This window comes from Homo sapiens, chromosome 6 (assembly GCF_000001405.40).
Source record: "Homo sapiens chromosome 6, GRCh38.p14 Primary Assembly".
Taxonomy (NCBI): Eukaryota; Metazoa; Chordata; class Mammalia; order Primates; family Hominidae; genus Homo; species Homo sapiens.
This window is the reverse complement of record NC_000006.12, coordinates 30646873-30673500: the sequence shown is the minus strand read 5'-3', so window position 1 is coordinate 30673500 and position 26628 is coordinate 30646873. Positions and strand designations below refer to the sequence as shown.

At 50.6% G+C, this 26628-nt stretch overlaps 2 protein-coding genes across 11 annotated transcripts, besides 2 other annotated features; one reads left to right on the top strand and one right to left on the bottom strand.

The window, feature by feature from the left end:
• Positions 184-780: an enhancer, noted in NCBI's record as "H3K27ac hESC enhancer chr6:30640498-30641094 (GRCh37/hg19 assembly coordinates)". NCBI's record gives its function as "activates a minimal SCP1, AML or CMV promoter by ChIP-STARR-seq in primed H9 embryonic stem cells {active_cell/tissue: H9 hESC(primed)}" and the evidence as "EXISTENCE:reporter gene assay evidence [ECO:0000049][PMID:30033119]".
• On the top strand, positions 495-20374 carry DHX16 (DEAH-box helicase 16). Of its 6 annotated transcripts, NM_001363515.2 has the most exons (21): positions 495-866; positions 2227-2465; positions 2549-2711; positions 3035-3091; positions 7768-8022; positions 8227-8430; positions 8509-8700; positions 10480-10590; positions 10759-10874; positions 11070-11745; positions 13259-13469; positions 13667-13765; positions 13877-14029; positions 16409-16549; positions 16742-16904; positions 16992-17110; positions 17236-17303; positions 17904-18066; positions 18165-18326; positions 18622-18795; positions 20131-20374. In NM_001363515.2, exons 10-21 carry the CDS (start codon positions 11645-11647, stop codon positions 20257-20259), a joined length of 1683 nt encoding a protein of 560 aa, NP_001350444.1. In that variant the 5' UTR covers positions 495-866; positions 2227-2465; positions 2549-2711; positions 3035-3091; positions 7768-8022; positions 8227-8430; positions 8509-8700; positions 10480-10590; positions 10759-10874; positions 11070-11644; the 3' UTR covers positions 20260-20374. The 6 variants fall into 6 exon arrangements, with proteins under 6 accessions (NP_001350444.1, NP_001157711.1, NP_003578.2 ...); NM_001164239.2 differs by lacking the exon at positions 11070-11745 and having other exon boundaries at positions 495-545; NM_003587.5 differs by lacking the exon at positions 11070-11745.
• Positions 1976-2574: an enhancer, noted in NCBI's record as "H3K4me1 hESC enhancer chr6:30638704-30639302 (GRCh37/hg19 assembly coordinates)". NCBI's record gives its function as "activates a minimal SCP1, AML or CMV promoter by ChIP-STARR-seq in primed H9 embryonic stem cells {active_cell/tissue: H9 hESC(primed)}" and the evidence as "EXISTENCE:reporter gene assay evidence [ECO:0000049][PMID:30033119]".
• On the bottom strand, positions 20294-26368 carry C6orf136 (chromosome 6 open reading frame 136). Of its 5 annotated transcripts, XM_011514384.3 has the most exons (7): positions 26198-26368; positions 25655-25895; positions 23542-23943; positions 22419-22507; positions 22035-22235; positions 20784-20853; positions 20294-20699 (listed from the first exon to the last, which is right to left on the bottom strand). In XM_011514384.3, the coding sequence occupies exons 3-7, from the start codon at positions 23584-23586 to the stop codon at positions 20586-20588; spliced, it is 519 nt and encodes a 172-aa protein (XP_011512686.1). In that variant the 5' UTR covers positions 23587-23943; positions 25655-25895; positions 26198-26368; the 3' UTR covers positions 20294-20585. The 5 variants fall into 5 exon arrangements, with proteins under 5 accessions (XP_011512686.1, NP_001154848.1, NP_001103408.1 ...); NM_001161376.2 differs by having other exon boundaries at positions 25655-26368; NM_001109938.3 differs by lacking the exon at positions 25655-25895.
• Between the last annotated feature and the right edge of the window lie 260 nt (positions 26369-26628).

Below are 26628 nucleotides of genomic sequence, written 5' to 3'. Positions count from 1 at the left end.
GATAATCCGCCCGCCTTGGCCTCCCAAAGTGCTGGGATTACAGGCATGAGCCACCGCGCCCGGCCAACAATGCTAATATGTTTTATGAGCATGGACCCGATCTTCCAATCTGAAATAGAATTTCATTCCTCCCTTACTTTGTATAGTTTTTGGCTCTATAAAATTTCCATACTTTCTTTATTATGTATCCTGTCCCTCCCCCACCGCAAAATGTAAATTTGGTAAGGAACTTTTGATTTGTCCTCTGCTATATCCCAGGGACGGAAAGCAATGAGCACACATTAGGCATCCATTAAATTAATTTCACTTGTTGAATGAATGCGTGAGCGAAGCACTCACAGACTGACCATCAGGGGGCGTCAGAGAAACTGGACAGAGGCGAAATGAAGAAAAAAGAATTACCCCGAGTTTTCAGGTATGGTTCCGCGAGGTTTGAACTCGCTCGGCCACCGTAGTGCTTAGAGGCCGAAAAAGTACAGCCCCTTCCGGGCTCCGCGGTACGGGAAGACAGCTTTGGGATGTCGGAAGATCCTAGAGGTCCCAAGGTAGCTGACTTGCGAAGCTGAGGCTCCAGCCGAGGGCTCCAGGCCTCTGACCGGCCCAGCAGTGAGCGCGGCTGCCCGACGCTTCAGGGCCGGGAGCAGGGAGCGTGAGTCGCCATGGCGACGCCGGCGGGTCTGGAGCGCTGGGTTCAGGACGAGCTGCACTCGGTGTTGGGGCTGAGCGAGCGGCACGTCGCCCAGTTTCTGATCGGTACCGCACAGCGCTGCACCTCTGCCGAGGAGTTCGTGCAGCGCCTACGAGACACTGATACCTTGGATCTCAGTGGGCCGGCCCGGGACTTCGCCCTGAGACTCTGGAACAAGGTGTCGGCAGGGGTGGGGAGGGGCCCTGTGATTTGTCCCGGTGAGGCTGGCCTAACGGTCCATCGAGAAGTTAAGAAAGCTCAGTTCACAAGCACTTATTCTTTGTCCGTTGTCGCGTAGGTACTGTGCTAGCTGCTGGACGCCCAGCTCAGTGGAGAAGATTGAGGAGGGCTTAGGTGTGTCGGGTTAAGCGCAATAGAACGGTGTTTCTCGAACTCTTAACATGCATCCAAGGTTCTTGTTAAAATGCAGATTGCGATTCAGTAGGGATCTTAGTTTCTGCATTTCTTTCTTTCTTTTTTTTTTTTTTGAGAGACACAGTCTCGCTCGCCCCGTCGCCCAGGCTGGAGTGCGGTCGTAAGATCACGGCTCACTACAGCGTCGACCTCCCTGGTTGAAGCGACCCTCCCACCTCATCTTCCCCGGTAGCTGGGACTACGGGCGCGCGCCACCACCCCCGGCTAATATCTTTTATTTTTATTTTTATTTTTAGAGATGAGGCCTTGGTGTGTTGCGCAGGCTGGTCTCTAACTCCTCAGCTCAAGCAATCCTCTCTCAGCCCCCTCAGAGTGCTGAGATTACAGGCGTGAGCCACCATGCCCGGCCCCCCTCATCTTCTGAACTTCCTTTCAGTCGTTTAATTAACAGAGGGGGCCGGGTGCAGTGGCTCACACCTGTAATCCCAGCACCCCGGGAGGCTGAGGCAGGAGGATTACTTGAGCCCAGGAGTTCGAGACCAGCCTGGGCAACATGGCGAAACCTTCGTCCTACAAAAAAATTAAAAATTAGTTGAGCGTGGTAGTGTGCACCTGTGTTTCTAGCTACTTAGGAGCCTGAGGTGGGAGGATCCCTTGAGCCCAAGAGGGACAGAGTGAAACCCTGTCTGTAAAAAAAAATAAAAAACCCCATTCAGGATGATGAAGATGGGGTGAAGCCATGAGGAAGAAAGAGAATGAATGCTGGTTAGCTGGTTTAAAACTAAGTAATTGTGCCCGGGTGTGGTGGCTCATGCCTGTAATCCCAGCACTTTGGGAGGCTGAGGTGAGTGGATCATGAGGTCAGGAGTTTGAGACCAGCCTGGCCAACATGGTGAAACCTCATCTCTACTAAAAATACAAAAATAGTCGGGCGTGGTGGCATGTGCCTGTAATCTCAGCTACTTGGGAGGCTGAGGCAGGAGAATTGCTTGAACCTGGGAGGCGGAGGTTGAAGTGAGCCGAGATCACGCCATTGCCTGACAGTGGGGCCGGGCCGCGGGGGCAGGAAAGACTAAGTAATTGCTTAAATTAGGAACAGAGCTAAGTGGGAGGGCAGAGATCAGGAGTTGCTCAGACCTCCTTATCTTCCCCTCTACTGACAGGTACCACGAAAGGCAGTGGTAGAAAAGCCAGCTCGGGCAGCAGAGCGAGAGGCCCGGGCCCTGCTGGAGAAGAACCGATCTTATAGGTTACTGGAAGACAGTGAAGAGAGCAGTGAGGAGACTGTGAGTAGGGCTGGAAGCAGCCTCCAGAAGAAACGTAAAAAGCGGAAACACCTCAGGAAGAAGCGTGAGGAAGAAGAGGAGGAAGAGGCTTCTGAGAAAGGGAAGAAGAAAACAGGGTAAGTCAGAAGCAGGGTGAGAGAGGATGGGGCAGGCTGAAGTGTTCTCTATGCCCTTATTTAATCCCCTGGATGGGCTGCAGGGGGAGTAAACAGCAGACAGAGAAGCCAGAGTCGGAAGATGAGTGGGAACGGACAGAGCGTGAACGCCTTCAGGACCTGGAGGAGCGTGATGCCTTTGCTGAGCGGGTTCGACAGCGGGACAAGGATCGGACTCGAAATGTCCTGGAACGGTCAGACAAGAAGGTGAATAGGAGCAGCATGTTCTGTAAATCCCCAAGATCCCAGGGTGAAATCTGAGGTTGGCTGTGAGTGCAGAGATAGTGATCTCTGGGAAGACAAGGGGCTGTCTCTAGTGAGATGTTCACCTCTGTGGTGAGAGAAGCCCTGTGCATCCTGTGGCTAAGACAACTGTCTGCTGTACCTGCAATCAGAGAGATTCCTCACTGAGAGGGGACATTTTTTGTGTTAGGGCGCATCTGAATGATCCTTGTGATTCTAGAGGGGAGCAGCTGTCAGTGTGGGGGCTCTTTGGCCTCACACCCCTCCATTCTTGTTTTTTCTTCTAGGCTTATGAAGAGGCTCAGAAGCGCCTCAAGATGGCCGAGGAAGACCGGAAGGCCATGGTGAGTCCCAGGGCCTAGGGAGCCAAGATCAGAAGACAAAAGGAAAGACTTTCTGATAGAGTGTATAGGGAGAGAGGATACAGAGGAAGCACAGTGTGGATGCTGATGGGGTGGTCAGGTTTCTAGAAGAGGGGCTTGGTTGTTAGGAGCCAGCTGAGGATAGACTTATGTTGTTGAGGGAAGGATCCTTCTTAAGTTGTAGGGGGAAGGAGGCTACCCATAAGTCCTCCTTGACTCTTAACTTTAGGATCAAATATACTCTATTAGTGAATGAAATTGTGAGCTTTCCCTATTCCTGAGTCCTAATGAGATATGAGGCAGCTGGAATGTTGTCAAGAAGGTTGCTGGAGGGCAAGGGCAGGGCAGCAGTCCCACTGTACAGGGATGTGCTGACCATTCAGCTTAGGCACACCATCTCCAAATACCTTCCCACCACCTAATTCCTGCACCCCTTATGTGGCTTTGTGATCTCCCTGTGTCTTCTCACTGGACAGGGACAGAGCCCTTGTAATTCATAAACTGGACTTTTTATGGTGTGAAACTAGGTAGGGTAAGCTGTTTTCCAAAGGCCTGGTCTTGTCAAGTAAAGTCACACTTAGATTCCCCAATACCCCAATAGAATTTTGAGACTCTTGAAGTTCCTTTTTTTTTTTTTTTTTTTTTTTAAACCTTTTTTCTTTTTTTTGAAACGGGGTCTTGCCCTGTCACCGAGGCTGGAGTGCAATGATGCGATCTCGGCTCACTGCAACCTCCGCCTCCTGAGTAGCTGGGATTACAGGCGCACACCACCACGCCTGGCTAATTTTTTGTACCTTTAGTAGAGACGGGGTTTCACCATGTTGGCCAGGGTGGTCTCGAACCCCTGACCTTGTGATCCACCTGCTTTGGCCTCCCAGAGAGCTGGAATTACAGGCGTGAGCCACCATGCCCAGCCTTCTTTTTATTTGTTTTGTTTTATTTTTTATTTTTATTTATTTATTTTTGAGATGGAGTCTCACTCTGTTGCCAGGCTGGAGTGTGGTGGTGCGATCTCAGCTCACTACAACCTGTGCCTCCCTGGTGGAGGAATCAAGCGATTCTCCTGCCTCAGCCTCCTGAGTAGCTGGGACTACAGGCCTGCAGTACCACACTCGGCTAATTTTTTGTATTTTTAGTAGAGGAGATTTCATCATGTTGGCCAGGATGGTCTTGATCTCTTGACCTTGTGATCTGCCCGCCTTGGCCTCCCAAAGTGTTGGGATTATAGGCATGAGCCACTACGCCTGGCCGTTTTTACTTTTTAAAATTCATTTATTTATTTTTTTGAAACAGAGTTTTGCACTTGTTGCTCAGGCTGAAGTGCAGTGGCGTGATCTTGGCTCACTGCAACTTCCACCTCCCGAGTTCAAGCGATTCTCCTGCCTCAGCCTCCAGAGTAGCTGGGATTACAGGCATGAGCCACCTCGCCTGGCTAATTTTGTATTTTTAGTAGAGATGGGGTTTCTCCATGTTGGTCAGGCTGGTCTTGAACTCCTGACCTCAGGTGATCCACCTGCCTCGGCCTCCCAAAGTGCTGGGATTATAGGCGTGAGTCACCACGTGCCCGGCCAACTTTTGGAGTTCTAAGAATGGCCTACTGGTTCCCAGGTCTCTCCTGACCAATTTATCTCATATCTCTTCCTGAAATTGACTGTGGTTAGGCTTCTGGGACATCTCAGTGCAGTTGTGGTGGTAGTGGTGTTACTGTTTTGGCCTGAATTTAATTTTTCGGGTTTTTTTTGAGACAGAATCTCATTCTGTCGCCCAGGCTGGAGTGCAGTGGCATGATCTCGGCTCACTGCAACCTCCGCCTCCCGGGTTCAAGTGATTCTCCTGCCTCAACCTCCCGAGCAGCTGGGACTACAGACATGCACTAGCATGCCTGGCTGATTTTTGTATGTTTAGTAGAGATAGGGTTTCACCATGTTGGCCAGTCTGATCTCAAACTCCTGACCTTTGGCGATCCACCCCCCTCGGTCTCCCAAAATGTTAAGATTACAGGCGTGAGCCACTGTGCCCAGCTGTAATTTTTCTTTTTCGATTACAAAAATATTTAAGCACATAGGGAAGTTGAAAGAATAGAACAAAGAACACTCATAGACACTATTCAGATTGAAAAATGGTTAATACTATGGGTAGTATTTGCATTGTAATTGTAAATGTGGTATGTTTTTTCTTTTCAGACCATTTAAAAGAGTCTTAGACATCATGGCGTTTTATCTCTAAGTACATCAGTGTGTACCTGCTAAGGATAAAGATATTGTCCTCTAAAATCAGAATGCTCTTGTCACAGTCAGGAAGTTGAACAGTAATTCTTATGTATCGACTAAGATCTCTCTACAATAAAAGATACCCTCATTACCCTCAAAATAACTTTAATGACTGCTTTTTCCTAACAAGAATGCAGTCAAGGTTCATGCATTGCATTTGGGTCTTAGATGTTAAGTTTGTTTCTCTCTCTGTCTGTCTCACCTTGCAGTGTCCTACATTCTGGATTTGCCTGATTCTTATCTTGTGGTGTTAAGTACTTCTCTGCCCTGTGCTTTCTTTGAAGCAGGAATTGGGTCTAAAGCTTATTGACACTCAGATTAAACAGTTGTGGCAGGAACACTTCTTGGGCGGTGATGTGCACTTCATATTATGTCATATCACGGGGACATACTATCCAGTTGTGTATCTATATATTAGTATTAATATCCTTTCTACCAATAGCCTTTCATCAAATGCTTTTAGAAGCCACTGGTAATCCTTTCCTGAACATGTTATTTTTATTGGGGATTGCAAAATGGTGATTTTTTTTTTTTTTTTTTGAGACAGAGTCTCGCTCTGTCGCCCAGGCTGGAGTGCAACGGTGCGATCTCGGCTCACTGCAAGCTCTGCCTTCCGGGTTCATGCCATTCTCCTGCCTCAGCCTCCTGAGCAGCTAGAACTACAGGCGCCTGCTGCCACGCCCGGCTAATTTTTTGTATTTTTAGTAGAGATGGGGTCTCACCATGTTAGCCAGGATGGTCTCGATCTCCTGACTTCGTGATCCTCTTGCCTCAGCCTCCCAAAGTGCTGGGATTACAGGCGTGAGCCACCGCGCCCGGCCGAAATGGTGATTTTTTGATTCTGTCATTCCTGTTACGTGTATTGGCTAGAATTTGTCTATAAAGAAGAGCTTTTCCTCAACAACTAGGAACAAGCTACAGTTCCTTCTTAAAAAGGGTAAATGTTTGTTTCCTTTTAAATACGAATTTTTAGAGTAAGGCGTTTGCTGTAACAGTCATTTCACTGGTGACAGATTTTTTTCCCTTGTTTTTTGTTTGTGTGTGTCAAATTGGACTCATGAATTTTTATTTTTCAGTATTTTATAATCTCACATCATTATTCTTTTTAATGCTCAAATGGCTCTGATTTTTTGCCCATATTAAAAAAAAAATCTATCTGGCTCTTCCATGGAAGGAATATTTGACTGTGGTACCCAGATTAGGTCATGATCATAAACTGCATTTTAAGTCTTTACAGAACAAACAAGAAAAGCCAAACAACTAAATAGAACCAGGCCCCTTAAGGGTAGAACAGCAGAGGGGCTTTTTTTTTAAAGATGCAGTTTTGTTCTTGTTGCTCAGGCTGGAGTGCAATGGCGTGAGCTAAGCTCACTGCAACCTCCGTCTCCCGGGTTCAAATGATTCTCCTGCCTCAGCCTCCCGAGTAGCTGGGATTACAGGTGCCCACTACCATGCCCAGCTAATTTTTGTATTTTCAGTAGAGACGGGATTTCACCATGTTGGCCAGGCTGGTCTCTAACTCCTGACCTTAGGTGATCCACCCACCTCAGCCTTTCAAAGTGCTGGGATTACAGGTGTGAGTCACCACGCCCACCCAGCCACCAGAGGGGCTTTGACCTTGCAGTAGAGGAAGTTGTGATCACAGAGAGGATGATGTCATAGTGGGAGGACTCCTGGCAGGAAAGGGCCTTATAGATATTGCCAGTTTTCTGCTGTCATCCATAATGTGTCCTGAAAAGTTTGTATCAAAGGTAAATGTGTAGAAACTAAGTGAGACACAGCATGGTGAAGAGAGGTTAGTACCAGAAAGCCAAACATCCCTGATTACATTTGCCTTACAGAAACACTCTGATGCTGTAGTCCTAACTTTTTATAATCAGTTTTTCTCCCTTCCTCAAACTACAGTCATTCCGTTTAAGACCAAAGAACATCTAACTGGGGCTGAAGATTGCCTCCTGTTGGCCCCCTCACTGGTTTCTATCTTTGTCTGAATTGTTTTCGGTTTGAGTCCTGTGCTTCTAAATGCTGGATTAGCCTTTTATTTTCCCCCTTTCCACTAATTTGAATAAAATGGCAAGAGTAAAATATAAGCTACGCAGACATCTCCCTAGTGCATCTATATTAACAAAGATGATAATGCTGCCTAAGAGGACTTTCCAGCTGGATTCTGCTGCAGGAAGATACGATGTGGGGTCAGCATGTAGCATCCAAAGAGGCCCAGATTTGAGTATGTCATTGTTTTGGTTGTGCATTGCAGAGGGAAGGTAGAGGGTGCATCCTGAGGTTCTCATGCCTGCCTGTCAGGGGATTTTTCCCTTGTAGGGATTGGTAGAGAAAGGGGTTGCTCCTCCAGCAAGATGAGGATTCGACTGTCCTTTCCCAACTCAGGTCCCTGAGCTGCGGAAGAAATCTCGCCGAGAGTACCTGGCTAAGCGGGAGCGAGAGAAGCTTGAGGACCTGGAGGCGGAGCTGGCTGATGAGGAGTTCCTTTTTGGGGACGTGGAGCTGAGCCGGCACGAGCGGCAGGAGCTCAAATATAAGCGGCGAGTGCGGGATCTCGCCCGGGAGTACCGGGCAGCTGGGGAGCAGGAGAAGCTGGAGGCCACCAATCGCTACCACATGCCCAAGGAAACCCGAGGACAGGTGAGGTGAAGCGGCGTCTGCTTCAGCCTTGGTCCCCAAGACAAGTTGTGGGGAAGGCTTCAGGGGATTGGGCAACACGTGGGTCATCCCCTTTCTTGCCTTGCCGTTCCCAATGGGCAGTGGGCGGGGGTAGTAATGGGAAGAGGGGAGAGGGCAGAGAGGACATCCTGTTTTTGAGTCTTCACATATCCCCTCTCTCTGTAGCCAGCCCGAGCTGTGGATCTAGTGGAGGAGGAATCAGGAGCCCCTGGGGAGGAGCAGCGGCGCTGGGAGGAGGCGCGGCTTGGGGCAGCGTCCCTGAAGTTTGGGGCCCGAGATGCTGCCTCTCAGGAGCCCAAGTATCAACTGGTGCTGGAGGAGGAGGAGACCATTGAGTTTGTCCGGGCCACTCAGCTCCAGGGTGATGAGGTAAGAGGGGAGCTGGGAGACTTTCTGAGGAAGACCCGTAGCGAGCTATTTAGCTCACACCTCCTTCTCTTTCCTTAGGAGCCGTCAGCTCCACCCACTTCAACTCAGGCCCAGCAGAAAGAGTCCATCCAGGCCGTCCGCCGCAGCCTCCCGGTGTTCCCATTTCGAGAGGAGCTCCTGGCTGCTATTGCAAATCACCAAGTCCTCATCATTGAAGGCGAGACAGGCTCAGGGAAGACCACCCAGATCCCGCAGTATCTCTTTGAGGAGGTACAGTCATCTCACCCTTCAGCTTGCCAGGGCACCTGGCATCAATGTCCTCATTCCTGTCAGAGCTCCTTTTACATTATATTTTTAGTAGTCACTTACCTATCTTTTCCACTAAATTGTGAAATTCTTGAGAGTAAAGACCATACCCTTTTCACATTTCTGTTCTCACTTCCTGCATTCATTTCATTTGGAAGGACGGGTAGATGGATAGGTGGAGTGGGGCGTGTATAAATGTGGACCTCCCTATGCTCCAACGTGGCCAAAAAACAAGGAGTTAAAGGACTATTTTCCTGCCTTTTTGTTAGTTTTTTTTTTTTTTTTTTGGAGACGGAGTCTTGCTCTGTCACCCAGGCTGGAGTGCAGTGGTGCGATCTTGGCTTACTGCAACCTCTGACTCCTGGGTTCAAGGAATTCTCCTGCGTCAGCCTTCAGAGTAGCTGGAATTACAGGCATGCGCCACCACACCTGGCTAATTTTTTAGTAGAGATGGGGTTTCACCATGTTGGCCAGGCTGCTCTCGAACTCCTGACCTCAAGTGATCCAGCCACCTCAGCCTCCCAAAGTGCTGGGATTACAGGTGTGAGCCACTGTGCCTAGCCCCTGCCTTATTTTGGAGACAGGCTCTTGCTCTGATGCCCAAGCTGGAGTGATGTGGCACCATCATGACTCACTGCAACCTGGGACTCCTGGGCTCAAGAGATCATCCCACCTCAGCCTCCTGAGTATCTGGGAGGTGCACACCACCATGCCCATATTAAACATTTTTTGTTTTTTTTTGAGGTGGAGTCTTGCTCTGTCACCAGGCTGGAGTGCAGTGGCGCGATCTTGACTCACTGCAACCTCCACCTCCTGGGTTCAAGTGATTCTCCTGCCTCAGCCTCCTAAGTAGCTGGGACTACAGGTGCGTACCACCACACCCAGCTAATTTTTGTATTTTTAGTAGAGATGGGGTTTCACCATGTTGGCCAGGATGGTCTCAATCTCCTGACCTCGTGATCTGCCCACCTCAGCCTCCCAAAGTGCTGGAGTTACAGGTGTTAGCCACTGTGCCTGGCCTGAAATTTTTTTTTTTTTTTTTTTGAGACAGAGTCTTGCTCTGTTGCCCAGGCTGGAGTGCGGTGGCATGATCTTGGCTTACTGCAACCTCTGTCTCCCAGGTTCAAGCGACTCTCCTGCCTCAGCCTCCCAAGTAGCTGGAAATACAGGCATGCACCACCATGCTCGGCTAATTTTTTGTATTTTTAGTAGACGGGGTTTCACCATTTTGGCCAGGCTGGTCTCGAACTCCCAACCTCAGGAGATCCGTCTGCCTCGGCCTCCCAAAGTGCTGGAATTGCAGGTGTGAGCCACTGTGCCTGGTCAAAATTTTGAATTTTTAATTTTTTTGTCACACTATGTTGCCCAGGCTGGTCTCGAACTCCTGAGCTCAAGCCATCCTCCCACCTCAGCCTCCCAAAGTACTAGGATTACAGGCATGAGCCACTGTGCCCAGCCTTCCTGCTTTTTTACCTTAGCTGGCTCTGTCTCAGCTAATCTGTTCTTTTCCAGCTCAAGTCTAGCAGAGTCATGAACTTAATTACCCAGAGCTGGGTGAGGACCCCCTTTGAGGGCCCTAGGTCTGTCATCCTATCTATTTGCCCTTCTTTTCTGGTTTTCAGCATCTGTCTTTTCCTCCTTTTCTCCTGCCTGGTTTTTACAACTTCTTTCTCTGAAATGTACCTGGTCCCAGGGTGCATATTTAGTAAAGGGCAAACTTCTTCTTTTTTCTTTGTCATTCAGGGTTATACAAACAAGGGTATGAAGATTGCCTGCACCCAACCCCGGAGAGTGGCTGCCATGAGTGTGGCCGCCCGAGTGGCCCGGGAGATGGGTGTGAAGCTTGGGAATGAGGTGAGATTTCTAGGGAACCGGGGGGTAGAGTCTGGGGTCTGTGACTCAGTCTACAGTTCCCTCAGGTCCCTACAGCAGAAGTCTTGGTGCTGCCCCACTTCACCTTTCCCCAAGTTCCTTTCAGGGCACACCAGCCCACACTTGGTTGCTAATGGTTCCCTTGACCAGGTTGGCTACAGCATCCGCTTTGAGGACTGCACATCAGAGCGAACTGTCCTCCGCTACATGACAGATGGGATGCTTCTCCGGGAGTTCCTCTCTGAGCCTGACCTGGCGAGTTACAGGTATCTCTAATCTCTGGCCTTTCTCTCCCTTCTTCCCACCCAGCCAATTCAGCCATTGTCTTCTGATTAATCCACCCGTTCTTGAATCTTTGTGGTTCAAATGGTCCTTGAACTGACCTCCAGGTACCACGGAGATGGGGCTGGAGGACAGAAGAGATTGTAGAGAAAGCCTCTTCTTTCCCCATTCATCTCCAGGGTTTAGAAAACAACCAGGATAGCAGAGCATTGCTGCCGAGACTTGAAATACCGTGTGAAGACCATTTGAAAACACTTGGAATGCTCAGCTCAGAGGGAGAAACAGGAAGCATCCTGGTTCCCTCTAAATATGTGAAGGCTGTTACATGGAAAGAAGGATCAGATTGTTTTATGTGACCCTACACGACATAGCTAGGAGCCATGGGGAGGTTACAGGGAGACAGATTCCAACTCAATACCAATGGCTGAGTAACCCTCAGAGTGGTGGAGATTGCAGGGCCTGTCAGAGTGGTTGGACTCTGGGTCTTGGCCCTCCACACAAGTCTTGGGTAGCTTGGTCTGTGAATAATGAGCTCTTAGTGCTGGAAATGGCCAAGCAGGGGTTGGTTGAACATGTGTTGAGGGGGAAAAGGGATTCATGAATGTAATGGGGGTGGGGTCAGGCCAGCTGAACAATATGTGCCTTTTTGACTCTTCAGAGGCTGTGAATTTCTGGTCTTGGAAGATCACAGTGGAGCAATTGGACAGATAGGATTTTATCCTTCATATCCCTTGCAAAAGATCTCTAAGAACCCATGGAGAGCCAGCCAGCGCAAGAGTGTCTGATGCAGATGTTTTTGCCCATCGAGCCAGCCTGCTTTGTGGAATGGCTGGGGACTTCACCATCACAGTTAGGGTTAGGCACAAAGAGTTGAGGTCAGGGAGGTGGGTAGGGGAAGATGGGGATGAGTTCCTGGGACTTGGCTGCCACCCAGAAAAGCCAAAGAACAAAGAGAAAGAAGGTGTCATGCACATAACTGAGTTAGGAGGAAACCAAGGAGCATGCAGAGTCCTGTGAGAGTTGAGGTAGAAAGGCTTAACTTGCTCCTGTCTCCAAAAGAAGAAACAGTCAAGAATGATGCCAGCAGCAGTTGTCCCACAGGACACCAGGAGCTTCTAGGCTATTTGAATCACAGCAGCTCAGGTCTATTACCCCCAGTCAGCCTTGCTGGCCCACCCTTATTGAAAGGGACCCTGCCTTCCACTTTTTTTTTCCTTTAAAACGTATCAGCCGGGAGCGGTGGCTCACGCCTGTAATCCCAGCACTTTGGGAGGCAGAGGCAGGCGGATCACGAGGTAAGGAGATCAAGACCATCCTGGCTAACACGGTGAAACCCCGTCTCTACTAAAAAATATAAAAAATTAGCTGGGCGTGGTGGCGGGCACCTGTAGTCCCAGCTACTCAGGAGGCTGAGGCAGGAGAATGGCGTGAACGCAACCCAGGAGGCGGAGCTTGCGGTGAGCCGAGATCGTGCCACTGTACTCCAGCCTGGGCGACAGAGTGAGACTCTGTTTCAAAACTCCGTCTCTACTAAAAATACAAAAAATTAGCCAGGCACAGTGGCAGGCACCTGTAGTCCCAGCTACTTGGGAGGCTGAGGCAGGAGAATGGTGTGAACCCAGGAGGCGGAGCTTGCAGTGAGCTGAGATCATGCCACTACACTCCAGCCTGCAACAGAGCAAGACTGTCTCAAAAAAAAAATCCTTCCACTTTTTCTTTTTTCTTTTTTTAGATGGAGTCTCGCTCTGTCACCCAGGCTGGAGTGCAGTGGCACGATCTTGGCTCACTGCAACCTCTGCCTCCCAGGTTCAAGCGATTCTCCTGCCTCAGCCTCCCAAGTAGCTGGGACTACAGGCGTCTACCACCACATCTGGCTAATTTTTTTTGTATTTTTAGAAGAGACGGGGTTTCACTGTATTGGCCAGACTGGTCTCGAACTCCTGACCTTGTGATCCACCTGCCTCGGCCTCCCAAGGTGCTGGGATTACAGGCGTGAGCTACCACCATGCCCAGCCTAAAACATATCCTTCAACTTTTTCTAGTAAGAGCAGCTGCTGAGTCTAAGCAGACTCTTGACTGAACTAGAGGGTATGGCTAACTTGTCCTGGCCTCAGTGTGCAGCCTCTACATCTTGTCTCCTATTATCTGCTGAGGCTGGGATAGGTTGCAGATCATGGGGCCCTGGCCTTCTCTGACTTTCTGTTGCTCTACATAAGTGGGATGGCTGACTTCTCCTTAGAGCCCCCTCCGTCAACAGTCATTCTTGAACTCTTTGTGTCCATTACTCCCCTCTCATCCAGTTAACTCTGGTGTCTGATACTGCATTGCCTAGCGCTCTTCCCTCATTGCTCTCCTATTCCCTCCCCAGCGTGGTGATGGTGGATGAGGCACACGAAAGGACCCTACACACAGACATTCTCTTTGGATTGATCAAGGATGTTGCTCGCTTCCGACCTGAGCTCAAGGTCCTGGTGGCTTCAGCCACAATGGACACTGCCCGTTTTTCCACCTTCTTTGATGACGCCCCTGTGTTTCGAATCCCCGGACGCAGGTTTCCTGTGGACATCTTCTACACCAAGGTGCCCCCTCAGGGAGGATGGGCTTAAGTCTGTGGCAGAAAAGCTGAGGCCTTTGGAGAAGGTTATCCTGTGGAGGGAAAGATGGAATGGAAGGTTCAAAGGGGAACTAGGATAAAGTGTATGTTGAATTGGGAGGAGAGGAAAGGTTTGCCTAAGCAGGTGGCCCTCCTGTGACCCCATCTCTTTCTGCTCTCCAGGCTCCAGAGGCTGACTACTTGGAAGCTTGTGTAGTATCTGTGTTGCAGATCCATGTGACCCAGCCCCCTGGGGATATCCTGGTGTTCCTGACAGGACAGGTGCCTGACATGGTGGGGAGAGGGGATGATGTATCCCAGGGGAAGACAGGGCCGGCATGTTGGCCTTCTGTGACTCTGGGACCCCTGCTGCTCTCCCTACCCTCTATCCAGGAGGAGATTGAGGCTGCCTGTGAGATGCTCCAGGATCGCTGCCGCCGCCTGGGCTCCAAAATCCGGGAGCTCCTGGTGCTGCCCATTTATGCCAATCTGCCCTCTGACATGCAGGCCCGTATCTTCCAGCCCACACCACCTGGGGCACGAAAGGTCAGTTGGAGAAACCCACACTCTTCACCCCTATGCTTCCCACAACTAGTAGTGAAAAAGCTGTGTGCCTGCCCCATGCAAGGTGAGTCCTGCGCACTGCTGCACACAGCTGAGGAGCAGCCAGTCCCTTGTTCCTGGGACTGAAGAGAGGAGAAATATGGTGTGAACCAAGAGAGAGCCAAATATGTGATCTGGAAAGTATGCACAGTAGATTCAGTGGAGAAGGGAAGTCCTTGATGTGCTAAGAGGTGGGATTTGATATGGACCTTTAAGAGAAATGTCTGAGGTCAGGTGCGGTGGCTCACGCCTGTAATCCCAGGACTTTCGGAGGCTGAGGTGGGCGGATCACTTGAGGTCAGTAGTTCGAAACCAGGCTGCCTAACGTGGTGAAACCCTGCCTCCACTGAAAATACAAAAATCAGCAGGGCATGGTGGCGTGCGCCTATAATCCCACCTGTTTAGGAGGCTGAGTCATGAGAATCGCTTGAACCCAGGAGGAGGAGGTTGCAGTGAGCTGAGATTGTGCCACTGCACTCCAGCCTGGGTGACAATGCGAGACTCCATCTCAAAAAAGAAAAATGGCTGAGAAGTCATCAGAGGAAGGCCCAAGGTATGTTTGAGGTCAGAGTGTGAGCTAGTAGGCTTAGTGGGAGGTTCATGTGGTGAAGGAGTAGGAGACAAGGCTAAAAACAATTTGGGGCTAAGATTAGGGAGGGCCTTTGATGACAGGAAAGTTTGGACTTTATTTATTTTTCTTTTTTGAGACAGAGTCTCGCTCTGTTGCCCAGGCTGGAGTGCAGTGGCAAGATCTCGGCTCACTGCAGCCTCCACCTCCCAGGCTCAAGTGATTCTTGTGCCTCAGCTTCCCAAGTAGCTGGGATTACAGGTGTGTACCACCACCCCAAGCTAATTTTTTTTTTTTTTTTTTTGAGATGGAGTCTCACTCTGTCGCCCAGGCTGGAGTGCAGTGGCACCAACTCTGCTCACTGCAACCTCTGCCTCACAGGTTCAAGCGATTCTCCTGTCTCAGCCCCCCAGTAGCTGGGATTACAGGTGCCCTCCACCACGCCTGGCCAATTTTTTGTATTTTTAGTAGAGATGAGGTTTCGCTATTTTGGCCAGGTTGGTCTCAAACTCCTGACCTCAGGTGATCTGCCCACCTTGGCCTCCCAAAGTGCTGGGATTATAGGCGTGAGCCACCATGCCTGGCCAACACCCAGCTAATTTTTAGTAGAGATGGGGTTTCGCCATGTTGGCCAGGCTGGTCTTGAACTCCTGGACTCAAGTGATCCGCCTGCCTTGGCCTCTCAAAGTGCTGGGTTACAGGCATGAGCCACTGTGCTTGGCGAAGTTTGGACTTTAGACAGCTGAGTAGCAGTCAAAGGATTTTGAGCAGAGATATAACTTTCATTCAACAAATATTTAATGAGTTCCTTCTGTGTGTCAGGTACACAGGGGTTGATGATACAGTGATGAACAAAACAAAGTCCTTAGCCTAACAAACTTGCACTTGTGGTCTATCGGGGAAGCAGTGGATGCATAAATACATATTGTCAATTTGTGGCCAGTGCTATGAAGAGATACAAGGCAGCATAGTAGGATGGAACTTGACTCTGTGGGGTGGGAGTGAGGACTGGCATGAAGGTATTTTCCTTGGGGTGTAGGGAGGGCCTCTTCAGTAAGGGGAAAGTGGAATAGAGACCCAAACCAGGTGAGGGAGGGAGCCAGGCTGATATCTGGGAGAAGAGTATGCCAGACAGAGGGAATAGCTGATGCAAATGATCCAGTGAGGAGTGCACTTACTTGGGCAGAGCAAAGCAGTGTGTGGGAGGAGTGAGGGAGGTGGTGGAGTGCTAGCAGATGAGGTCAGAAAGGCAGCTGGGGTAGGTGATCCAGGCTTTTAAGGGGCTTGGATTGAATTCTAGAGTAGGATAGGAAGCCACTGAAGGATGGGGAGTGATGTGACAGGTTTGTATTTTAAAAGGACCATCCTGGATGCCATGTGACAGAGGCTAGGAGCAGAAGCAGGGATACACGTTAGGAGGCTCTTACAGGAAGTGTTGTGTGAAGACGAAAGCGGTGATGGGGAGGATCGGGCAGGAACTTGAACACCCCCATTTCCCATCTCTGAAAAAAAAAAAAAACCCTAAATCCTCTTCTCCATTTCCTTTCCTCCTATGGCCCTGCTGACTCCCAGCCCCCACTTCCCTGTCCCCTGTCTTCTGGCCTTGTCCCCTGCTCCTGACCTTGGATACTACTAATTCCCTCAGCTCCTGCCCCTTACTGCAACTGCTTCACTACTCCTAACTTTCCAAGATTACTTTTTCTGGGTAACTAGGTAGGTGGGGTCACTGGGTGACCCCATATCCTATCACTCAGGTGGTTGTGGCAACGAACATTGCTGAGACATCACTCACCATTGAGGGCATCATTTATGTGCTGGATCCAGGGTTCTGTAAGCAGAAGAGCTACAACCCCCGCACAGGCATGGAATCGCTCACTGTCACACCCTGCAGCAAGGTCAGCCTGGGGATGCATGGGAGTGGGGGAGGTGGAGTTGGCCCACAGAGAAGGTCCAACTCAGAAGCAGGGTGGGGGCTTCCTAGGGAACCGGGATGAGCAGTTTGCATCCTTCCAGATTTCTTGCATAAATACTGCCTTTTTCTTTTCCCTGACCAAATTGTCAGCCAGCCTGTTCCCCTTTCTTTCCAGGCCTCAGCCAATCAGCGAGCTGGCAGGGCAGGTCGGGTGGCTGCAGGGAAGTGCTTCCGCCTGTATACCGCCTGGGCCTATCAGCACGAGCTTGAGGAAACCACAGTGCCTGAGATCCAGAGGACCAGCTTGGGCAATGTCGTGTTGCTGCTCAAGAGCTTAGGTGATTGGGCTACCTGAGAGAGGAGGGAGGGGCTGGAGTCACTGTCCTTTGAAGGGACTCTGTTCCATCCATCACACCTCTTTCTAGGGATCCATGACCTAATGCACTTTGATTTCCTGGACCCTCCACCATATGAGACACTGCTGCTGGCTTTGGAGCAGCTGTATGCTCTGGGAGCCCTCAACCACCTTGGGGAGCTCACCACGGTGAGTCGGGGGACAGCATGGGTGGAGGCAGGATGATAGGGGTCAGGATGGCTCCAGGGACCCCTGTAGTAGTAGCGGGAAACCTGAGGGAGGACTGGGCTCAACTCTCTCTCTCTTCTCCTTAGTCTGGTCGAAAGATGGCAGAGCTGCCGGTGGACCCCATGCTGTCCAAAATGATCTTAGCCTCTGAGAAGTAAGCCCTCGCCTCCACCTGGGCCCCCAGCACACAAACAGGCCAGGCCTCCTCTGTCTCCAGGGTCCCCTTTGTCTGTCTTTTTCTGTTCATCATACTATCCCTTAACACATAATAAAGTATTAGATAACTCTGATTGCCCCCTTTTGAGGCCCACAAGGGTAAGACACTTGATCCTATCCTTGATTCCACTGCGCCCGGCCCCTTGAGGAACTTACTTGTTCCTAAGGTTTCCAACTAGAACATTTAGATGTAGCTGTGGAGGGATGACCTTTAAATGCCATTCCTCTGCTGTCAGAGATCTTTTCCAAATGCACATAGTGAATGCACACTTTCTGCAGAAGCCTCAGAATTCCCCGGTGTTTCCTGCTCCTGCCTCCATGGATGTCCCTCCTTTGTGACTGTGTTTCATCTATGGCCCCTACTTCCTTGACCCCCAAGCTGCTGCCAGAATCTATCTGCTGGCTGCTTTGTAGCCATTATGCCAACCAGCCTTCCCCACATGAGGAAACATCCATCACACAGTGATCACTCCCCACTCCACCATATCTGTTCCTATGTGTCTTGCTTTGAACTCATGCTTTCCCCTTCCTGTCCCAGGTACAGCTGTTCAGAGGAGATCCTGACAGTGGCTGCCATGCTCTCTGTCAACAACTCCATCTTCTACCGACCAAAGGACAAGGTCGTCCATGCTGACAATGCCCGTGTCAACTTCTTTCTCCCTGGCGGTGACCACCTGGTTCTGCTAAATGTTTACACACAGGTCACTGGGCTTGGGTGAGTGGGAATGAGAGACACTGGGGGACTTTAGTCCTGCTGTATACTTAATTATCTCTCCTTTCTTTTTAACTGTCTTCCCAGTGGGCTGAGAGTGGTTACTCTTCCCAGTGGTGCTATGAGAACTTTGTACAGTTCAGATCGATGCGCCGAGCCCGGGATGTGCGGGAACAGCTGGAAGGGCTCTTGGAACGTGTGGAAGTTGGTCTCAGTTCCTGCCAGGGGGACTATATCCGTGTACGCAAGGTCAGCATTTCTTCAGCCTCCTGCTTTCCACCCCCAGTACCTTCCCAGGAGCAAGCTTCTCTGGGGGCATGCAGCATTTCCTCCAGCGTGAGAGCATGCCCTCTTCCCCTTGTGTATGACGTGTCCTCCCAGGGCCCTTTCTTCCCCAGACCACTGAAGGTTCATTCCTGGGAAGTTCTTCATGCATTCCTTACCTCTCTAGTTTTCCTGAAGCCTGAACTAAAAAGGTAGTGCATTCTTAGGGTCCCCAGATGTCTGCCTTTTCCATTGATTTTCTTTCCTGCCCGCTCCTTAGGCCATCACTGCTGGTTACTTTTACCACACGGCACGGTTGACTCGGAGTGGCTACCGCACAGTGAAACAGCAGCAGACAGTCTTCATTCATCCCAACTCCTCCCTCTTTGAGCAACAGCCACGCTGGCTGCTCTACCACGAACTTGTCTTGACCACCAAAGAGTTCATGAGACAGGTGAGGAGAACATCCTGTGCCCACGCAGGTGGAGACTATGTAGAGAGATGGTGTCCTGGCAAGCTAAGAACCCAGGTTCAAGTTGCTGGGACTGGTACAGAAAGAGGAAGGTAGGGTAAAATAGAAAGACATCCTTTGTTTTTTTTTGTTTTTTTTGAGACGGAGTCTCACTCTGTTGTCCAGGCTGGAGTGCAGTGGCGCAATCTAGCCTCACTGCAACCTCTGCCTCTGGGGTTCAAGAGATTCTCATGCCTCAGCCTCCCAAGTAGCTGAGATTACAGGCGCAAGCCTCCAGGCCTGGCTAATTTTTGTTATTTTTAGTAGAGATGAGGTTTCACCATGTTGGCCAGGCTGGTCTCAAATGCCTGCCTCGGCCTCCCAAAGTGCAGGGATTACAGGTGTGAGCCACCATGCCCAGCCCAAAGACATCCTTTCTAACAGGTGTGTCAGCATCTTCCAAGATCTGAGAACTAGACACTTATTCAATAAATATTTGAATGGCTACTGTATAGGTGCTGGGGCTATAATGAACAAAGCAGTCTCTGGTCTCACAGAGTATAGTCTTTATGTTCTAGGCTTTTCTTTTTTTTGAGAGTTCCGTGCTGTTGTAGCCCAGGCTGGAGTGCAGTGGCACCATCTCAGCTCATGCAACCTCCGCCTTCGGTTTCAAGTGATTCCCCTGCCTCAGCCTCCAGTGTAGCTGGGATTACAGGTGCCCACCACCACGCCCAGCTAATTTTATATTTTTAGTAGAGACTGGGTTTCACCATGTTGGCCAGGCTGATCTCGAACTCCTGACCTCATGATCCGCCTGCCACGGCCTCCCAAAGTGTTGGGATTACAGGTGTGAGCCACTGTGCCTGGCATGTTGTTCTAGACTTTTCTTGGGAATAGCTTATTTGGTATCTTGAATAACATACAGAGGTGTATCTGCCCTTTGGGTATATAATAATAGAGCCAGGCACCTTTACACCTAGCCCTGCAGTCAAAGAGGAAAGATAACTTTTGACCATACACATAAGGATCTAGGTTGGGGCTGGGCATAGTGGCTCATTTTTGTAAACCATCCCAGCACTTTGGGAGGCCAAGATCAGCCCAGGCAACATAGTGAGACCCCAACTATACAAAAAATTAATGGTGCACTGTGATGTGTGCCTGTAGTCTCAGCTACTTGGGAGGCTGAGGCAGTAGGACTGCTTTGAGCCATGATACGCCACTGCAGTCCAGCCTGGGCAATAGAGCAAGACTCTGTTTCAATTTAAGAAAAAAAAATAACAACAACAAAAGATCTATGTTGGAAAGAAGGGAACTCCATTGATCTTTTCTCTCTCCTAGGTACTGGAGATTGAGAGCAGTTGGCTTCTGGAGGTGGCTCCCCATTATTATAAGGCCAAGGAGCTAGAAGATCCCCATGCTAAGAAAATGCCCAAAAAAATAGGCAAAACACGAGAAGAGCTAGGGTAAGAGAAGGACGTAAACAGAACCTGACACCAGCTCCTTTTCCTTCTATACATTATTTAATACCTATTAAATAAAATTATTTTTGGAATAAAGCTTGTGGGAACATTTGGGATCTAGAGAAAGTGATATGTGAAATTCTATCTCATATAGTCAGTTAAACTTTATTATTTACAAGTTAAATTACACAGCAGCTTTACACAGCATGAGATGGAAAGGAAGGAAGGAGAGAAACGAGGAGAGGAAGCTGGCTCCTGAGATTCTTGGCTGCCTCCACCTCCTTCTCTTGGGCGTAGCAGTCTTCAGTGCTGCCTCCACTCCAAGGTCAAGGATCAGGGCTTGGAACACAGGTTTAAGTCAGGTTCTGGCTCTGACAGCCCCAGGGCCACCAGGGCTCCCACTAGCAGCTTCTTCACAGGCGTTGGAGGTGAGTGTGAAGGCATCAGCTGCAGGGAGAAAGGTTAATGCCAGTTGGGGGAGGCACACAAATGTTCTACCCTTTACCCCACCCAGCCCTACCTAGGACTCACTTTATCTAGACGATGGCGACAAATGAGGCCACTGGAATTCAGGTAGAAAGTGGAGTAGGCATCATAGGTCCTGGGGAATAGAGGGAGGCTTACTGAGGGAGAAGGTGACTGGTCCCAAAGCTGAATTCAAGCATTTGTTTAAACGAGTAGTCCCTAAATTCTGCTACATATTAGATCACCTGGGCAACTTACAAACATCTCAGTGCTTAGGTTGTGCCCTGTCTCAATTAAATCAGAGTGTTTGGCGTCAATATTTTTTAACGATCCTTGGGCATTTCTACTGTGCAGCAGTTTGGGAACTGCTGGTTTAAAAACTTATATCCAATGTTTGTGGCTGAGTCTAACAATTTATTGGGATTCTACTCCCAGGCGGAAATTTACCAGGTTGTAAGGCTCAACATATGAGACAGGACTTTTCATTTGTTCAGTACTTTTGTGTGTGTGTGTGTGTGTGTGTGTGTGTGTGTGTGTGTGTGTGACAGGGTTTCACTCTGTCACCCAGGCTGGAGTCCAGTAATGTGATCACGGCTCACTGCAACCTCAACCTCCCAGGTTGAAGTGATTCTCTCATCTCAGCCTCCCAAGTAGCTGGAACTACAGGTGTGTACCACCACACTGGGCTAATTTTTGTATTTTTTTGGGTTTTACCATGTTGGCCAGGCAGGTCTCCAACTCCTTACCTCAAGTGATCCGCCCACCTCGGCCTCCCAAAGTGCTGGCATTACAGGCATGAGCCACCACACCCAGTCTGTTCAGTAAGTATTTGAGTACCTACCATGTGCTAGGCACTGTATAGGAAGAAACTGAAGCTCAGAGGTTTTTCTAATATACCCAGTCTCTATTTTTTTTTTAACATTAACATAAACTAAACAGGATCCCTGTCCTTAAACAGTCAAGTGAGGATAGGTCAAGGGTTGTCTGGGAGACTAGATCATCTGTAATCTCAGCACTTTGGGAAGCTAAGGCAGGTGGATCACCTAAGGTGAGGAGTTCGAGACCAGCCTGGCCAACATGGTGAAACCCTCTGTCTACTAAAAATACAAAAATTAGCCGGGTGTGATGGTGTGCCTGTAATTCCAGCTACCCAGGAGGCTGAGGCTGGAGAATTGCTGGAAGCCGGGAGGCAGAGGCTGCAGTGAGCTGAGATCACGCCACTGCACTCCATCCTGGGTGACAGAGTGAGACTCCGTCTCAAAAAAAAAAAAAAAAGGAACTGATTATAGTTTGGGTCCTTTCTCATTTCTCTCTTACCGGTAATGCTCGTCTTTGTCACGCTTGTAGAACCGCAAAAAGAGCAAGTGGACGGGCAGCCCCACAAGCCGCCACCGGGCTTGCAGGGTCCAGTTCTCAGGGTGGCGGGTCAGCTGTAAAACCTCCAAACGAAGGTGTGCAAAATAATTCCAGGCCAGGAAACGGCAGAGGGTCAGTGAAAGAATGTACCATGTCCGGCCCCTGTGAAGAAGGGATGGGAAAGAAATCTCATGATGGCAGAATTAGAAAACCAAACTGGCTTCTAAGGAATGGGGAACAGCTGTGAGAAGCAGTCTAGGAACTTCTCTGGGAAGTGAAAAGGGTCATGTATATACCTTTGGGTGCTTTTCCTCCCCAGTGCCCTACCTGTGCCCCAATTCTCACTTGGTACGTATGTTGAGGATCTCATTGATGAATTCCACATCCAAGGAATACAGACTGTAGTCGTGGGACTGAAGGAAGAGCTTGGGAAGCTAGGTGGAAGAAGATGGCATCAACCCAGTGGGAAAGAAAAGATAATCCTATTTTTCAGTTTTCTAATTTTTTTTTTTTTTTGAGACGGAGTCTAGCTCTGTCGCCCAGGCTGGAGTACAGAGGTACAATCTCAGCTCACTGCAACCTCCGCCTCCTAGGTTCAAGCGATTCTCCTGCCTCAGCCTCCCGAGTAGCTGGGATTACAGGCTTGAGATGGAGTCTAGCTCTGTCGCCCAGGCTGGAGTGCAGAGGTACAATCTCGGCTCACTGCAACCTCCGCCTCCCAGGTTCAAGCGATTCTCCTGCCTCAGCCTCCCGAGTAGCTGGGATTACAGGCACCCACCACCATGCCCAGCTAATTTTTGTATTTTTAGTAGAGACGGGGTTTCACTGTGTTGGCCAGGCTGGTCTTGAACTCCTGACCTTGTGATCCGCCTGCCTCGGCCTCCCAAAGTGCTAGGATTATAAGCGTGAGCCATGTGCCAGGCCCAGTTTTCTATTTTTAAGGCCTCCTTACTCCCATCTTGGAGTGAAAGATCTCATCCCATGATTAACCTCCCTTAACCCAAAATGAGGAACATCATTTTCTTTCTTTTTTTTTTTTTTGAGACGGAGTCTCGCTCTGTTGCCTAGGCTGGAGTACAATGGAGATATCTCCTTTCACTGCGCCTCCTGGGTTCAAGCGATTCTCCTGCCTCAGCCTCCTGAGTAGCTGGGATTATAGGCGTCTGCCACCATGCCTGGCTGATTTTTGTGTTTTTAGTAGAGATGGGGTTTCACCATGTTGGCCAGGCTGGTCTTGAACTCCTGACCTCAGGTGATCCACCTGCCTAAGCCTCCCAAAGTGCTGGGATTACAGCACTTTGAGCCACCGTGCCTGGCTGGAACATCATTTTCTCAGGAAAATGTTTATAATATATTTCTATGCCTGCCTCATGGTTCCAAAAAAGAATCCAGTTGACTATCCCTGTACGTCCAAGGATTACCCACATCCTTCCCACTGTAGACGAAGGCCACTTTTGCACTGACTTACCTCTTGTCTCAGTCTCTCATACATGACAGACAGATGTTCCTCCATACTAGGATCTCCTGACGGGGTGGCAGGGGAAGGGTGGGCAGTTCCAGGGACTTGGAAAGGTATCCAAGCCCCAGGATAGGGGCAGGGAGGTCCCTCAAAAAGGCTTCTAAGCCCATCCAGGCAGCCGCTATGCAACTCAGGTCCTGGTCCCTCCTCCCCCTTTCCTGGAGGGAGAACCACCCATGCTGAGCTGAGGGCCTGGATCTGAGGGAGAGGTAGTGGGGGAACCTGGGGAAGACGCTGGGTGGGAAGGCGTGGGGGCAGGGGAGACCAGAATAGAGGAGAAGATGGGGAAGTGGTTGTCGTGGAGTGGGGCCAAAGGGGTGGGAATGGTAGAGTCCCTGGATAAAGCTGGTCCTAAGGAGAAAGAACAGAAGGGAGAAAGATAAGAATCCACTTGTCTAACACCCCTTGATCCCCTGGATGCTCAACAGGCTTCCAATACCTATTCCTCCTGACAGAATGGATGGAATTACTATAGGAAAAAAGGGATGGATTCATCTCCATCTCTACTGAAAACAGGAGGAAACCATTTTATTTTATTATTTATTTTGAGATGGAGTCTCGCTCTGTTGCCAGGCTGGAGTGCAGTAGCACGATCTCAGCTCACTGCAACCTCCGCCTCCCGGGTTCAAGTGATTTTCCTGCCTCAGCCTCCTGAGTAGCTGGGACTACAGGCGCGCGCCACCATGCCCAGCTAGTTTTTGTATTTTTAGTAGAGACAGGATTTCACCATGTTAGCCAGGATGGTTTTCATCTCTTGACCTCGTGATCCACCCGCCTCTGCCTCCTAAAGTGCTGGGATTACAGGCGTGGGCCACCGCGCCCAGCCGAGCAAACTGTTTTATGTGACATAAATACCGGCACCTCCCAAAACCTAGCAGACATTTTACTTTTTTTTCTTTTTTTGAGACGAAGTCTCACCGTCGCCCAGGCTGGAGTGCATTGGCGCGAACTCGGGTCACTGCAACCGCCGCCTCCTGGGTTCAAGCCATTCTCCTGCCTCAGCCTCCCGAGTAGCTGGGATTACAGGCACCCTTCACCACGCCCGGCTAATTTTTGTATTTTTAGTTACAGATGGGGTTTCACCATGTTGGCCAGGCTGTTCTCGAACTCCTGACCTCAGGTAATCCGCCCACCTCGGCCTCCCAAAGTGCTGGGATTACAGGCGTGAGCCACCGTGCCCGGCCCAGTGTTGGAATCTTAAAGAAATGTGGCCGGGCGCGGTGGCTCACGCCTGTAATCCCAGCACTTTGGGAAGCCGAGGCGGGCGGATCACGAGGTCTAGGAGTTCGAGACCAGCCTGGCCAATATGGTGACACCCCATCTCTACTAAAGATACAAAACAATTAGCCGGGTGTGGTGGCGGGAGCCTGTAGTCCCAGCTACTCGGGAGGCTGAGGAAGGAGAATTGCTTGAACCCAGGAGACGGAGATTGCAGTGAGCCGAGATGGTGCCAATGCACTTCAGCCTGGGTGACGGAGCAAGACTCCATTTCAAAAAAAAAAAAAAAAAGATTCCAACACTGGGGGCAGTTTCACCTCTCTTATCGCAAGAATCATGTAATACATACTTGATGAGTTAACGAATAACAGGTTTTATTGTACTGTGGATTAAATGCTGTGGCCTGTACATCTCCATGATTAAGTGTGCGAGGCAAATGTACAGAGAAAAAAGAATATCCAGCTGAAGCTAGGAATCTGAATTCTATCATGTAACTTTAGGCATTCTCATTCCCTATGCCTCCGCTTCCTACAAATGTCCTATAAATGAGAACAATAAAGCCTCACTGGGTTATGAGGCCTATATGAAATAATGAATGTAAACAAAACGTAGCGACCTAGAAAGCAGTACATAAATGGAAGCTATTATCATTTCGGGCCCCTCTAATGACAGACACAACCTCAGGAGACAGTTAAAGGCTGGCCTTCACTCTCCTGGGTTTACCGACGTTGAAACTGCAAGGGGAGGTCACCCAAAGTTAGGCCTCACCCGAGTCCCTCCGCTCCCAAGGAACCCCCCAGGGGATCGTCTCACTGCAGGGAAGGCGGGCGGACCGCTCGGGTACCTCGGTCCCCGATGGTGTCCTAGAGGCGCCGTCTCTGCTGGGGGCGTGGCCATCTTGCCAGCCCGGGCGCAGGGGCCCGAACCGGGTGCACACTGGCCGGCCTTCCTGCCAGGACCGCTCTCCGAGTGCAAGACGGGCGGGCTGCTGAGGGCGCCCCGCGGGTCTGGTCTGGGCCGGGGAACTCCGGGACGGCGCCGCAGCAGGGCTACGAATCTCTCGGCCCCTGCCCTTCAAATCACCTCTAGGCACAGGTAACCGCGGAGAGTCGGGCGCAACGCAGACGCGCCCCGCTGCCTGGCCTTGACCCCGCCTGACCGCCCTCAAACCTGGGAGGACCGACGTCCTTGCGCGACAGGCCCGGCAGCGCCTCCCTCCCGCTCCCGCGACCCCTAGCCTGTCCACGCGCTGCAGGGCACAGGTGGGAAGGGGCGGCGGGTGTCTCTGCGCCTGCGCGGAACCCAGCGCGCGCTCCGCCCCACGCACCGGCTTTGAGGAGGGTCTCTCCCCGCCCCCTCTCCTCCCTCCCTCTTCTCCTCCGCTCACCTGGGGTCGAGCCTGGTAGGCGCGCAGGCAAGGGCCGAGACGCCGGGCCGCACCCCGGCTGGGCTGGTACATGATCTTCCGGGAGTGGAGAAGGAGCCTCCTGAGTCCGACCTCCGGCCTCCTCACAGGGGTGAGCGCGCCCCAGAGCCGGCTTCGTGAAGGGGAAAGGAGGCCGGGGCGGGGGGGTAGGGGGGGAAGGGGCTGAGGGAGGGAAACGGAGATGTCCCGCGCTTGCGCACTGCAGGCTCGAGGGAAGCGGCTGAAGCGCTCTGTCGGCTGTAAGCGCGCCTGCGCCCGCGGGCTCGGAGACTGCCTGAGTGCGCTTGCGCAAGTTACAGCCTCCCCCGCCCCCCCAAGCGCTGTATTCACAGCTGAGGCCTTTGAGCAAAAAGCTGAGCAAAAACAGGGCTGAAGGCTGAATGGGTGCAACG